Source organism: Homo sapiens, chromosome 18 (genome assembly GCF_000001405.40).
Source record: "Homo sapiens chromosome 18, GRCh38.p14 Primary Assembly".
Classification (NCBI taxonomy): domain Eukaryota; kingdom Metazoa; phylum Chordata; class Mammalia; order Primates; family Hominidae; genus Homo; species Homo sapiens.
Genome location: NC_000018.10, coordinates 21,816,219 through 21,831,921, shown reverse-complemented (window position 1 = coordinate 21,831,921; position 15,703 = coordinate 21,816,219). Strand labels below are relative to the sequence as shown.

Sequence of the window (15,703 nt, the reverse complement as noted above, 5' to 3'; positions counted from 1 at the left end):
CATTTTTTATCAATCAAAAAATCAGGTTATAAAATGTATTTTGGCAGCAGAGGGACTTCACTTGTTCCATAACTGTCTAAAGATTGTCTTGCTACTAGCCATGGTAATTTTTTTCCTCTTTCCTTTTTTCTCTGCAGTGCTTCTAAGTATAGTGACAGTGCATCAGGCTTTCCTAGTCTCAGCGCAAGCTCAGTGAAAATCTGGGAAATGTAAGTGGAAACATGAGAGACCGCTTTATTTGGCAGTGCTTACCCCCCCTCAAAAAAAAAAAAGTGGGGGGCAGGACAAATGGCTAAGCAGTGTTTGGACCGCAGGATGAACAATCAATAGGCAGAAAGCAAGATTGAGGCTTCCTCAGCTTTTGGATCGACAATCGACAGCTGAGAGGCTATTTTTTGCTATGGTTGACTAAATATGGTCAGGGAAGAGAGAGGCACAAGAGAGCCTGTTTGCCTGGGAGTGCATGTTTCAAATGCTTAGCTGCCTATAAAGCTGTAACAGTTTAGCCAGTGGTCACTGAGGAAGAATATAAGTTAGCCTCGTAGTGACCATGTGGAAGTCCTGACCTCGCTTGCAGACTTGACCTCTGGATGTGACAAGGTAGCTTCACTACAGCTCTACTATTTAATCCTGGAAACTAAAAACCAAAAAAAAAAAAAAAAAAAATCTAAAAGCAAGAAAGATGCAGACTATTTCCTAAGAAGTCAGAAGAACCCAATGTATTCTGGAGGGCAAAGAAAAACAGGGTGAATGTTTACAGTTATTTGGGGGGAGTAAGGTGTGTTTTGGGTTCTGTTTTTGTTTTTTTTTTTTTTTGTCTTTTTTAGACTATAAAATTAACTTCTGCAACTTTTTCCCCTCTTCTGAAGCATTTCATCTGACAAGCTAGGTTCATTTTCTTGGCCTTTGTAGCAACCTTTTTTGATTGCTTAACTTTCCCTATATAACTGTGCAAGACTGTTATATGACATTCCAAATCAAATGGCCAACACTGATTCAATTTTAGAGTTGTTTTTGTTGGTGGTTTTTGTTTTTGTTTTTGTTTTTGGTAAAGGGAAGAGGGGAGGAGAGGGAAAAGTAAGCTTGTTTTTTGTTTGCTCGTTTGTTTTTCAAATTTATCTTAAAAGGTGAGGTTCTGTGTTCACTGATACATCCCCTTCCTTCACCGGGCTCATGAAAAGAAATGCTGAATCAGCAAATAGAGTGAACGAACAATCAAGATGAGATGGCTGCTGTTGATGTGATTCTCTAGGTTACTACCTTTCTTCCTGCTGCAAATGCTGCATGACACTAAGCTTACAGGTAACAGAGCACCATAAGGCCTGTACTTTTAAGGATGCTTATGACTTTCTGCATGCTTACCTATTATTGACTCAATATATGTTCTCATTGTTAAATTAAATTCTATCTAACCATAGCCTAATTTCACAATTCAAGTTAAGAGCTAATGTAGTGTAAAAAGGAATATTGTTCAGATACTATGGCAGTAACTTTTTATCTTAAAAATGTACAAATACATTATTGTCATTTACATTATTAAAGATTTAGTCATTATTGTTTCAGATTAAGTGATGATTTTGCATCTCTAGTAAGTCACATCCTGCTTCCAAAGTATACTTATTTTCTAAAACTATTAGCTTCTATTTCAAGGTTTAGTCAACCAAGAAACTTGGCAGATCATAAAATACTTTTTAATGCTTACTAATAATTGGCCACAAAAATAAATCAGAACGTGCATGGTGTAATTCTAATGCTGCATTGCTGAAACTGCTGTAGTGCTGGGCTATCTACTGCTACATTCTGATTTGCTCTCTATAAGCTGCACTAGCTTTTTATCACAAGCTGCAGAAATTCTACTATCCCTGCCCTTTTTTTTCCTCCTTTGACAAATCTGAAAATTTCTTGAGGTTTTAAATTAACCTTCTAATACCACAATAACTGAAGGCTACTTACCAACTATAATTTCTTTTCATTCTAAACTATCAAGGTAAATAAAACCCAGGTGCTCACAGACTAAAACCTTTCAGTTCTTTGAAGTGATACTTTCTAAAAGTTGACGATTCTGACAGTTATCCTTTATACTAAAAAGATTAAAGAATCAAAACAACTTAAACTCACCAAAATTAGATATTTCTACATCTATTTGAATTTGTATTCAACTCATATTTGTATTTAACCCAAAGAGAAGCATCAAAGTGCAAACTTCAGGTAAGGAACTAATAAAGAAAAAAGAATGACAAATTTTCAAATGATCACGAGTTCTTATCTGTGACCTTATAAAACACTAACAAAAATTCATAATCTTTAAAAAAGTTCAATTCACCCACACTCATCCTGGTTTTTCTCCTTGTTGTTTCAACTTCTAGAGTCAATATCAGAAATACTTATTGGTTAATTTGTTAGGTTTTGAGTAAGATATCTAGTTTGTAAAAAAAAAATTGAATTTAATTAATTACTATCTACCTGTAGGATCTAGAAGCAGACTACAAAAAAAGAAGAAATTCACTCTGAAGACTGAAGAAACACTAGGCTGATCTTAAGTTTCCGAAATACACTCTGTAACACTACACTGATTCTTTGAATCTCTTGCAAAAAGAATCAAACCAGGACAAAGTTCAACAGATAACTGGTCAAATGCTTAGGAATGTCTATGTCCACCAAGAATATGGAACCATTAATGCCATGCTTCAGGTAAACTTGTTACAAAATTTAGTCTTCGATAAATTAGTCTCTGCAAATGATTTACCATTGCTCTACATTAGTAAGCTGAATGTTTCACTAACAAATAAGAAAATAAAATATTTCATGTTTTTACAGCTAACAACTTAGTAATACCTACTCAGAGTACATACTTCTTTATGTACCCATATGAACATACAATGCTATGGAATGTAAAGAAGTATGTATTTTTGGTAGGCAATAAACCACCAAGGGAGAATTAAACTGAGCTAAAAGAAGCTCTTGCTTCTTTCTACGTGAATGACCGTCATATGGTAAATTAACCTAGTCATGAACAGATGACCTTTGGCAATACTAACACCAAAAAAAAAAGGTTATCTACTACTGATAGATAGAAACTATCCCTAAGGTTTTTATTTCATGAAGGAAAAGAAGATCCAGTGAAGTAGATTTCAATTATCATGAAACTCCTTTTAAATCATCTAAGTTTAAAACAGACATCTTACATTTTTAAATTAGGCACTCTCATTATTAAAATTTGACTGCAAAAGGGAAAATAGTATTACTAGCACAAAAGAATGAGGAATACACATGACCTATTTTCTGTCTCCACAATTTAATCTTAAGTATATCTCATTAGTAGGGCTCACTGATTTGTACAGAAAAATAAGATACTAAGAGCTGGCTTCATTCACATAATAAGCTATTTCTTCTCATTTTGATAAATGTATAATTAATATTAGAGGAATTTCTGACCAAAAGTTTTGTTGTTTTAAAAAGGCTTTCTTTTTTGACAGCTACAAACATAGTGGCCCTTGTCCTTCCTTCTCAAGTTTATCAGGGTCTTAACCCAAATCTCTACTTTAAATGTGAAGTTAAAACTTAAAATTAATTAAAATGTAAGATTTAAGCATGAAAAATGACAAAATTCTGGTCCACAGCTGTAAGTCAGCAGGGTATATTGGTAACAGACTACCAAATATTTAAAAGAAATTAATTTATCTGTATTATCTTCGAATTTGCTTTCTCCAAAGAGGGCATGTAAAATGAAAGCACTATAGTCAAGAACCAATTTATACAGATCGAAGAACTGTTTTTATTGTACTATGCAATTACAATTCAATTTCTCTAAACTTGATCAATCCATTGTTTAGAAATATCAAAATACTTTTATTTCACACAGTTTGTATATTATTTATAAAAAATTCCAAATAATGCTCTTAGCAAAATTTATAAGCAGTACCTGTTTTAAGCTACTAATGACAAAGTTAGAAAATAAGAGTAATATTCACATATTCTAACCATTTCTTACTAAAAGTATTATTTCAACTGAAATATTTACACATGTATAAAAGCATAATATTTTAAATTTTTTGTATCAGAAATTGAATGGAAATGACTAAGTTTAACTATAGTTCATTTTCTGTTTAATAAGACTAGTTAATACAAAGATGATTTTCATTTTATCAGATTATAAAGAATGAGAATGACTTACACATGGCATCATATGTGTTACTGCATGTTTACTGGAAATTATAAAAGGCACATAATTTTAAAATTCTACACTTTCAAAGAAATTAGTTCAAAGCTTAACTCACATAAGCATAGCCCTTCTGATCATCCACAAAACAGAATGGCAATGATTCATGTTCTATTTGGTAAGTTTACCTGTATAGGTCCTAAATACCAAGAACTCAAAATATATACCTCAAAAGTAGAGGTTCTTCTATAAAAATACTCAAAGCTTATTACTCTACTTGTGTTTTATAATAAACAGTTATATTGGTCATTCTATAGGTATACAAGTTGTTTAATAATCCTTCTCAAACATCCTAGCAACTAAGACTCTCTTTGCTATAATATTAAGACTATATAAATAATCCTTAGAAAATAAAATGACAGGCTATTCATTTTTAAAAGTAAAATTATATGCTGATTCTGGTGCTTGCGAGTTTAACTTATCTAAGAGTATTTTCAATCACTCTAAAATGTCACATCTATCACTTAGATCAGCTGTTCATTTTTAACTGAGTACATATTAAACTCTGGGCATCTGCTGACACTGGTATAACTCAAACATTTCAACTGTCTCCCTGACAGGGATAACAGATGCTGACATTATCAAATGCTGTACTATTTTTTTCCCATGGCCTCTCCTTGCCCCGATATGGCCAGTATATGAAACTGAACTGCCATCCAAAAACACACTTGAGCAACTGGATCTGCTAAACAGCTCCCATATAACTAGTAAAAATAGAAGCCAGTATTATTGCTATCTTCAGCACTTAAGTTTAGGCAGTTTAACACCTGTTTCACTTCTACTAGAAAAAATGATGAAAAAGAATTGTAGTTAATTTCACCAGCAGTATGATACTTACCAACCAACAGACGCAGAATATACTTAGTGTAAGAGTCATTTGCATACTGCCTGAATTAGCGTTGACCTCTCAGTTTAAAATAGTAACTGTAAAGAATATTTCTCTACTCTATATTTCTCTGAGAGCACTTAACTTTATAGGCAAATTATAATTTATCAAACTTTTATTTTATGCAAGAAGACACCCCTCTCAAGACATTGAAATCAACAGTAAAACCACATTATAACAAAAATTTACTCTGATTTTTCAAGTATTATCCACACAATAGATTTTAATACTTGTATCCATGGATTGTAACTAACCACCATGTATTACTAAGGCGATAATGAGAAGTAACTTGGCAATCTGTACCCAAAATGACAAAGAACTTAGTCAAGGAAATAGACCTTTAAAAGGGTTAAATTACTAAGCTATGATTAGTAACACCACGTAAGCAAAAACAAAGAAAAACTGGCATGCATGGTAGTTCCTTTCGACACAAGTCCAAGCAATACACTGAATACACATGTGATCTATTTATAAATCAAAGGGCAGAGGTACTTTCTTAAGGCCACTGATATTCCTACACCCATCAACAATTTGCTATTAGCCCTCAACTATAATGCTAAAAGAAGCAGTGGCAGTAGAAGGGGGTGACTAACTGAACTCTTCCCCAACCTTTTAGCTTAACTATTTATCTGGTTTGCTGCCTAGAGATAAATGGAAAACATTACTCTAAAATACATCAAGGTCTATTTGTTCCTTTAAATACTATTGGTTTTGAAATAGCTTATTGTCTACATGTAAGAATTAAGCAAAGACTTCGGCTGTGGACAAGATTAGAAAAAGAAAAAGAAGCAAAGATGTTGAAAACAAAGACGTACATTGATCATTCCTTAATGCAGTAATGTGTTAAAAGGAAAAGATTTTTAAACCATTAAGCGCAGGAAAACAGTAGGAAAGTGACTTCAAAATGGAAAATTTGACATTCAGTGACTGAAGCATTGGTATGATAATTTCTAACACTTGTAGAAGGTCCATGACTGTAATTTTACCAATGAAAAGCATTTAACTGTTTTGGATTCCAAACTAGCAGCACTACAATGCTTTGCTAGAGCTGGTAAAATGGAACCAAATCGCCTCTTCAATGGATTTGGTCCCCTTCAACCAGCTGTAGCTATGCATTGATTACTACGGGACAACCAACGTTTTCATTTGTGAATATCAATTACTTGCCAACTAATTTCAACTTATTTACATTATGCAGACTGTGATTATAATCAAATAACTTGTTACTGTTAATTCTACCTGGAAAAGCTAGAATGGTTAAAGATGTTTATAAAAAGCTTTATGAAAAATGTATGGATGACTTAAGGATTTCAAATAAAAATTTTACTTATTATGGTCTCTTGGTATTAAATTTCTTATCCTTCAGAAAAGAAAAGAACTGGTAATAAAATGTAGGCTATGCTTCATAATAACAACAACAACAAAAACTTCCTTCAAAGGAAGAAAATATCTGGAAAGGTCACCTAAAACCCACCTGAACACATAATGGGATTGTACAGTGTGGTTTACATGGATGTGTGCATATTTAAATTAAAGAAAACTGTAACATTATATAACACTCTAGAAATGTTTAGTCACTATCTTCCATAGTATTGGCCTTTAATTTTACCGCTATTTACCTGAATGTTAGCAGGTAAGGTGAAAAAGATGATAACTGTAGAATATCTTGTGGAGAGGCTTAAAACAGTTATCTAGTTCTTCTGACCCTGAATCAAAGGTTTTTAGTCTTCAAAAAAGAAAGAAAATGCTAAGCATCACTACTTTTACTCATGAAATATTTCACCTCTCCATATTTGTTTTCACAGCTGTAAAATGAAGAACTCTGCTAACAATAAATACTATGACTCTCCTCACTGTCTTCTTTGTCCCTTATAAAAAATATACACACAATATTCTCCTTCAGTGGGGATAAACTGAAGTAAAGAAAAAAAGTGACAATTACTCTAACATCCGTATAATTTTCTTAATGATTGCAATAAAACTATAGATAATTTAATATTATTTAATAGAGACAAACATTTCAGCAATTAATGAAGATTACTGAAGACAAGAGTAGTTTAAAGACCCAGATGTTCACACATTCTCAACTCCTGACCACTCCTCCATTTCAAAATGAACATCATTCTCTAAAAGACTGTGGGCAAAAGGAGACATATATAAATATATATCTTATCACTTCATTCAAGATCTTCTTCCTCCTATTAATTACACCTCAGTCACAGAAAGTACATTTGTGTATTACAAGGAATATGGTGTTTGAGAGTAGATGCATGAGCATACATTAGAGAAAACACACTCTAAGTATCCTATTACCGAATAGACTCAGCTATATTTTGTAGATAGCACTCAGCATGTTTACAGTTGTAAGGAAAGCATTAAACACCAAAATACAGTACAGCTTATCAAATCTTCAAATAGCCAACATAGTCTTGTTTACAGACCATATTTCAGAATTTAAAAAGTAAAAAAAGCATCACAACATTCGAGAAGGAAAACTATGAGTTGCTCACATATTCAGTAAGATTTGTAATATGTGTCTTTGTGGGAATTAGTAAGCAAATAAGAAACGCCTGTGAAATTATCTTAGTACCAACCTAAAAACAACATATATCACATCAGGTGATTCACTCATATTTTACGTTTACTTTTCACATTCAATTTCTATTCAAGAAAAATTCGTAAATACTATATAAACTTTATAATTATATTATTGTTACCTGTACTTCCAAAATACCTATCGATTGTTTTTGCCAGCTCTGCAGAGAATACTGCTGACTAATTTATTTTCATGCCTGTAAGGGAGCTCTAAAAACAGCTAAAAATGCAGCATCTTTACAGAAAGTACCTAAGTAACATGCTGATTATGCTACTCCAAAGAAATTCAGTTTTCACTTTTATCAGCAGAAATAATTTCTACTCTTACTTTAAATCCAAAATTTTACCTATATACTAAGAGATGATAAATATGGCTAAACTCTAGATGAAAACATGCCTATAAATATTAACTATCAGAACAGACAAACAGCATTGTTCTTAGTTAAGATTTCTCAAAAAAAACAAAACTGTATTAAAACATGGTGTAATTTCTACTTAAAATGCTCCAAACTTTATAAAGCACAACCAAAGTACTCAGGGTCTCATAGTGAAAATTTATATTCCCTTCCACAATTCTAAAAGACAACAATAAATGGCTTTGTAACTCTTTTCTCTTAATGTGTTTCAGTTACTATCATACTATGAGAAAACATCAAGATCAGCTTTGAAATCTAGACTCATATTGATCTGCACCTTTGAAATAGAGACTTCAAAGGACAGTCTTCAAAAATATAGGACATCTAGACACTTCATCAGGTTCTGGAAATAACAACGTGCTATATCTGGTTTTCTTTTCTTTTCTTTCTTTTTTTTTTTTTTTAGAGACAGGGTCTTGCTATGTTGCTCAGGCTGTAGTGCAGTGGCACGATCATACCTCACTGCAGTCTCAAACTCCTAGGCTCGAGCAATATTCTCGCCTCAGCCTCCCAAGTAGCTGAGACTAAAAGTCTGTGATGCCACACCCAGCTGATTCTTTTTTTTTTTTTTTTTGATACAGTCTTGATCTGTAACCCAGACTAGAGTGCAGTGGTGCAATCTCAGCTCACTACAACCTCTGCTTCCTGGGTTCAGGTGATTCTCATGTCTCAGCCTCCCGAGTAGCTGGAACTACAGGTGCGCACCACTACACCCAGCTGATTTTTGTATTTTTAGTAGAGACAGCATTTCACAATGTTGGCCAGGCTGGTCTCAAACTCCTAGCCTCAAGTGATCTGCCTGAGTTGGCCTCCCAAAGTGCTGGGATTATAGGCATGAGCCACCACGCCCAGCCTAATTTTTTAATTTTTTAGAGACAGGGTCTTGCTACATTGCCCAGGTTGATCTCAAGCTCCTGGCTTCAAGCAATCCTCCTGCCTCAGCCTCCTAAGTCGCTGGGATTACAAATGTAAATCACCACACCCTGCTGGTTTTCTATAGTATAAAGGCCAAAAAGACTGGTTGTTATTTTTAATTCCGAGTACACTAAAAATGGCACCTTCTGTCTTCTGACATCACTGGACAGTATAGGGGGGGAAAAATCAACCTTAAGAAAAAGAAATTTGATATGAAAAAAAGAATTCAAAACATCCCAATTTGCAATTACAACTGGTAATATAAGCTGTGTCATCTGATACTCTTCAGTGTCCAATTAAAATCACACTCTATCTGGCAATCTATAGTCACAACTACCTAAAAATGTCTTAAGGAAGTAGGAATAAAGAAGGCATGTAGCTTTAACTGAAGCACTACTTTGTTAAAGAATAAAAGCATTTTTTTTTAAATGTCACCTGACACCAAATATCTGGTTGGAAGAGGTGCTGTTTTAAATTTTCAGGGGAACCCTCAAGATTTATGCAAGAATTGAAAAAAATAAAAGTAAATTTTCTCTTCCTTGTATAGGCTTAGCATTATTGAATATACTATGCCTACTCTCAATAAAAATGAAACAACTCAAAATATTTAAAAGATACTTGTTTCCTAAGCACTTCAATTCTCAGTTTATACTAAACTTTATGATTTCATATTCCCTCAATAAATCCTAAATTCTCTCAATAAAATCTTTTTGACCATTGTAATCTGAAGTAATTGCTGTTTGAATTCCTAACACAGTTTCTCTACAGAATTCATTTTGTAATTGATCATATAACATCTTGTGATATTTAACAGTGTGCTCACTGTCAAAGTAAGACTAACATTTATTGAGTGCCTTGTATAGCCAGAGCATATGTAGGATGAACAGATGAATATGAATGCCCACAATGTAAAGAGAAAGACAGAAGTGCACATAGTAATAAACAGCACTAAGCAGAGTATATAGTAAGTATAATAAATAAGAACACAGAGGAAGGGCGCGGTGGCTCACGCCTGTAATCCCAGCACTTTGGGAGGCCGAGACAGGCGGATCACGAGGTCAGGAGATCGAGACCATCCTGGCTAACGTCGTGAAACCCCGTCTCTACTAAAAAATACAAAAAAAATTAGCCGGGCATGGTGGTGGGAGCCTGTAGTCCCAGCTACTCGGGAGGCTGAGGCAGGAGAATGGCGTGAACCCAGGAGGCAGAGCTTGCAGTGAGCCGAGATTGTGCCACTGCACTCCAGCCTGGGTGACAGAGCAAGACTCTGCCTCAAAAAAAAAAAAACAAAAAAAACAAAAAAAACACACACAGAACAAGGAAGTATAGAGCAAACAAAATAATTCCAGTGATGACACAGGAGGTAGCTCTGGAAGAAAGACGGTTAAGATAAAGAAGCGGGATGGGGCATCCCAAAGAAAGAAAATGCTCCAAAAAATAGAAGAAGAAAGCAGACAGCATATTTTAGGAAAGGAGAATAGACGATGGGCAAAGCGGGCTGAGGGATTGGATTAGCAGGAGATAAAGTTAAACAGACTCAGGACACACAGAATATGGGTCTGAATGCCAAGCCAAAGTGTGTAGATTGTATTCTATGTTAACAGACAAAAACTGAAGTTGGGAAACAGGGGAAGAGAGCCATTTAGACCTATGCTTTCAGAATGGATAATTTGTAAATGTATAAAATTTAAATCAAGAAAAAGACTGAAATCAAAGAAAAAAATTAGAAGAATAGTATAATAGTCTAGGTAAATGTGGTGAGTACTTAATTGGGTCAGCAACAGTGGGAACAGAATGGAATGGGTTGGAAGGATTGGTAGAATGAGTAAAATTTTAAAACTAGTTGGAAGCTAAGAATTGGTGAGAGAGCAAAGATAACTCTAAGCAATGAAGCAGCAAGAGGAATGAGGTATTGACACATTCACTGCCCATGTGTTTTGGTCTTGCTTCACAGACAGACCATAATACAGAAAAGGTGATGTAAAGTGGTTTAACAGTTATGATTCTAAAGTCACCTAGACCTTGCTCAAGTTACAGCTGCTTCAGTAATCAGCTACGTGTTCTTGAATAATTAAATTCATCTCTATAAGCCTCATATTCTTCACGTGTAAAATGAGGATATTAACACCTGCCCCAAAAAGCTGTTGAAAGGATTAAGTGAGATGATGCATGTGAAGCACTTTGCAGAGGCTGGCATGTGGAAAGTGCTATCATAATCTTCTGTTTGAAGGGCAGGGAAATATAATACTACTGTCTTCTTCACAATGCCAAAATCTGAAGTGTTCAAATATTTGCAATTTGGAAAAAAAATCAAGATGTGATCTAAAATATGATCATTCATTTTGTCCTACAATATATACCCACTGTTACAGTTACCAATAAGCAGTAGCAATAAAATCCTTTTGTTTCCTGTGGTCACCCTCTAGTGGTGATCCTAAGAAGCTAAAGGAAACATGATATAAAAATACAATAAGGAACCAAAGAATAAGTGTTCAGAATAGATAAAATTATCAAAATAAAAATCAAAGTGAAGATTTTTCTTAGTCCAGGTATACAGGTTTGACTCAAACATAAACAGAAGACATCCAATGCAGAATTTCCTAAAATGCTTAGGGTAAAGTTGTTCCAAAAAGTGAGTTAATGGAAATCTCTAAATTAAGCAAAGCTAAGCATTTTCCCATTCTGTGGGACACCGCAGATCCTTCATAAAGAATGTGATTCTCCAAAAGGAGTCTTTCTCAAATGTCAACCAGCAAATACTTTTTTCAGTAGAATACTATTGCTGTAACAATGGATGAGGGGATAGCTATACTAGAAGTTTATATAACTAATTACATTATTAATAAGGAATTAGGTAACTTAGTATTTATTTAGTCTTAAGTTTTAAAAAATAATTATCGTGCAAATGGCAACATGAAATTAGAGGACACCCAGATAATTATTTTGAAGAAACATAAATCTCAAAATAAAATGCATTTTAATTAAATCTTTAGAAAGAAACTAGTATTCCTGATATTTTACAACCACATTTAATATAAACTTAAATAATCATTTCATAATATTTGTATTAGATTAACAACCAAATAATCATCATATAAAACTAAAGGCATAATATTCACAAAACTTTAAAATGATTTAAAATACTAAAATAGCCAAAATTATTTCTTCATCAGTATCAGAAAAAGAGAATCAACAGTAGGAAAATATTTTTGAATTGCACCTAAAATAGTAAGGGGTGACATACCTGGGATTTCCCCTTAGTGCAGCATGATGCAGAGCATTAAATCCATTATTGTTTGTGATGGTAACATCTGCTCCAGCTTCCAAAAGAACTGCTAGGATATCATCACGTTTCTTACTTATTGCATCATGAAGAGGGGTATCACCTTCAGAATCCTTTAAGTTTAAAGAAATTTTCATTAGTTCTTCAATTAATTATCCCATCTAATAGTAATACTTACACCAAATGCTAAGCAAACAGAAGCAGAGACCACATCCAACAAATACCAATAAAAGAGCACTTTCTGTGATAACTACAAAAATATAGGCAAAGGCTGGGCATGCTGGCTCATGTCTGTAACCCTAGCACTTTGGGAGGCTGAGGCGGGAGGATCAGCAGAGGCCAGGAGTTCAACACCAACCTGGGCAACATATAGAGACCTTGTCCCTACAAAAAATTTTAAAAATTAGCCGGGCACGGCGGTGTGCACCTATAGTCCTAGGTACTCAGGAGGCTGAGGCAGAAGAATGGCTTGAGCCCAGGAGTTCAAGGCTCCAGTGAGCTATGATCATGCCACTGCACTCCAGCCAGGGTGACAGAGCGAGACTCTATCTCCAAAAATATAAAAAACAAAAATACAGGCAAGAAACACTGGCCACATTATAGTAAGGAAAGACATACTCAAATCTAGTTGGAAAACAAAATAAGCATGCTGGAATTTTTTTTTCTTTTTTTTGAGACCAAGTTTCGCTCTTTCACTCAGGCTGGAGTACAATAGCGCGATCTCAGCTCACTGCAACCTCCACTTTCCGGTTTCAAGCGATTCTCCTGCCTCAGCCTCCCAAGTAACTGGGATTACAGGCACCCACCACCATGCCCAGCTAATTTTTGTATTTTTAGTAGAGACGGGGTTTCACCACGTTGGCCAGGCTGGTCTCAGACTCCTGACCTCGTGATCTGCCCACCTCAGCCTCCCACAGTGCTGGGATTACAGGCGTGAGCCACCTTGCCCGGCAAAGTTCTTTTTTTGTAGAGATGGGGGTCTCAGTATGTTGCCCATGCTGGTCTTGAACTCCTGTGCTCAAGTGATCCTCCCACATGAGCCTCTCAAGGTGTTGGGATTACAGGCATAAGCCACCACTCCTGGCACATGCTGAAGCTTTACAAAGCAAAAAGAAAAGAAAAGAAGTAGCCTCAAATATAACTAATGACAAAAACCAGTGAAGTGATAAAGCTGCCCCCCAAATTTTATAAGTTTAAAATGGCCTTAATTGTCATACCCTGAAATTCCATACCAAACCTACACCATAACAATGAATTGAAAGTCGGTGGCTTTCAAACTTGGCTGCTCATTAGAACCTGCTGGGGAGATCTTTTAAAATCTGTTGTACAGAGGAAAAAAAAGAGAAAAAAAAATCTGATGTCCAGGCTGTTCACCATACTAAATCTCTAGAGGTGAGAGTGAGGCATGAGTAATTTTTCAAAGCTCCACAGATGAACATCTTGTGCAGTCACAGGTGAGAAACATTAATCTAAGCGTTTTCAAAGGGCAGCAAAGTGGCTAGTTAGCCAAAGGTAAAACAATTGTAAATTAAAATTTAGCAATCTCAGTCTACCATTTTTTCAAGCTGACTACTTTTTACATTAATCAATTGACTTAGCAGTAAGTTTTTATTCATTAGCAGTCATGTACAGACATGAATAATTTAAATTTCATTCATTTCATAGTTGAACAGATGCTATTCTCAGTAAAGTCATATACAACCTGGCCTACAGCATATACTACAGTTGCCAAATTCAGTTTGCCACTTGTTTTTTGTTTGTTTTATTCTTTTTTACTAGACATATTTCCTGCATGGTTTGTCTCCCCAGTCACTGTCCACAGGATTCTGAGAAGCTACAGGAATATGAAAGTGCAAACACCAGACCCAGCTTCATCTCCAACACTGAGGAAAGGGACTGTACATCATGGGGCAGAGCCCTATGCTCCCCTAAGCCATGTGGACAAAGCCTAGAAAAAATGATATCCCAGGATATTACACATTGGAGCCACCTGTTTTTGTAAATTAAGTTTTATTGGAACACAGCCACACCCATTCATTTATGTATTATCTATGGCTGCTTTCATTCTGCAATGAGAGTTAGATAGTTGTGGCAAAAGCCAATAAGCCACTATTATCTGTGCCCAATATAGAAAATGTTTGCTAATCCCAGGAATATATTCATCCACCTACATAAAGAATTCCTGCTAGGCATGGTGGCTCACACCGGTAATCCCAGGACTTTGGGAGGTGGGAGCAGGAAGATTGCTTGAGACCAGAAGTTTGAGACCAACCTGGGCATTTCTACAAAAAATTAGCCAGGCATGGCAGCTCACACCTGTAGTCCCAGCTACTCGGGAGGCTGAGGTGGGCCCTGAAGGTTGAGACTGCAATGAGCCATGATCACGCCACTGAATTCCAGCCTGGGCAACAGAGCAAGACCCTGCCTCAAAAAAAAAAAAAAAAAAAAAAAAAGAATTCCTAACCCAAGTTCAATCCAACCATCTACCATCTACCTTCTACTCCTGTATCTGGCGGCACTAAAAATCTGTAGTGTTCAACCTGAAACGGGCTTCTAACATGATTGGAACACCCTTCTGCAGGTCCCCAAGTCCTTATCACTCTTCTCAATTACTCTTTCTCTACCCACCACTCTCAACAGATGAACTTGTCTCCCATTTCAGACAAAAAACGTCAGCAGGTATAAATCACCTCTCCTTACAGATTAACACCCCCCCAATTCTTCCCTCATCCTCCAATCCTGCCTCCCACTTACAAGGACATACTCTAGATCCCAACAGTTCCAAAACAGCTGCACTTCAAAAACCTTAATTTCTAATAATTATCTAGCTGAACAAAATCTATTCTTTCAGTTCTTCTCAAGCCCTCATTCCCACTACTACTGTTCTTTATTTCTTCTCTGAGATCTATCCAATCCAGCAACCAATTCCTGGATGCTGTAAATTATCTAAACTACAAGCAGCTTATGATTCTAACCACTGCCCTACTTTTTAAAAAATCATTATTGAGTTTCCAATGGAAACAAATTATGTTTTACATATTCAAATAGTATTTCAGGGAACACTTTTATTTAAAAATAATATGTTGTTTCAAGCCTATTCGGTTAAGGAACCTAAAAGTTGGCAAATTAGATTCAGGAGCTACAAAATTACTAAGTATAGAAACTTTAATCAAACAGGTGCACAAAAGACAAGTTGCTTAGTAACCAAACTAAGCAGAAAATGGACACAGACTACATTTTCTATATATTTGTGGTTTAATTTATCTGGTTATAAAACTGTAGCTGGGGATAATCATTTCTTAGGCAATCATTGCTTCAAAAATTAGATCCTACTGTAAATCAACTCTAAAATCCTATACATTTTCCAAAACAGAAATCTCCGAAGATTA

The 15,703-nt window shown here is 35.2% G+C and overlaps 1 protein-coding gene, 1 long non-coding RNA gene and 3 other non-coding genes across 7 annotated transcripts in view; 3 read left to right on the top strand and 2 right to left on the bottom strand.

The window, feature by feature from the left end:
- MIB1 (MIB E3 ubiquitin protein ligase 1) overlaps positions 1 to 15,703 on the bottom strand; it is a 166,038-nt gene that overhangs the window by 39,032 nt on the left and 111,303 nt on the right. For all 3 annotated transcript variants that reach the window (XM_047437676.1, NM_020774.4, XM_011526098.2), the window contains one exon: positions 12,276 to 12,427. In XM_047437676.1, the coding sequence (XP_047293632.1) occupies positions 12,276 to 12,427 (152 nt within the window). The remainder of the gene's footprint in view (positions 1 to 12,275; positions 12,428 to 15,703) is intronic.
- On the top strand, positions 516 to 6,443 carry MIR133A1HG (MIR133A1 host gene). The gene is made up of 3 exons (NR_110369.1): positions 516 to 600; positions 1,128 to 1,302; positions 2,470 to 6,443. It is a non-coding gene; the product is annotated as an MIR133A1 host gene (long non-coding RNA).
- MIR1-2 (microRNA 1-2) lies at positions 2,834 to 2,918 on the top strand. Its single transcript, NR_029662.1, has one exon. It is a non-coding gene; the product is annotated as a microRNA 1-2 (primary transcript).
- Positions 6,137 to 6,224, top strand: MIR133A1 (microRNA 133a-1). The gene has a single exon (NR_029675.1). It is a non-coding gene; the product is annotated as a microRNA 133a-1 (primary transcript).
- Positions 14,094 to 14,298, bottom strand: LOC124904362 (small nucleolar RNA SNORA73 family). Its single transcript, XR_007066476.1, has one exon. It is a non-coding gene; the product is annotated as a small nucleolar RNA SNORA73 family (small nucleolar RNA).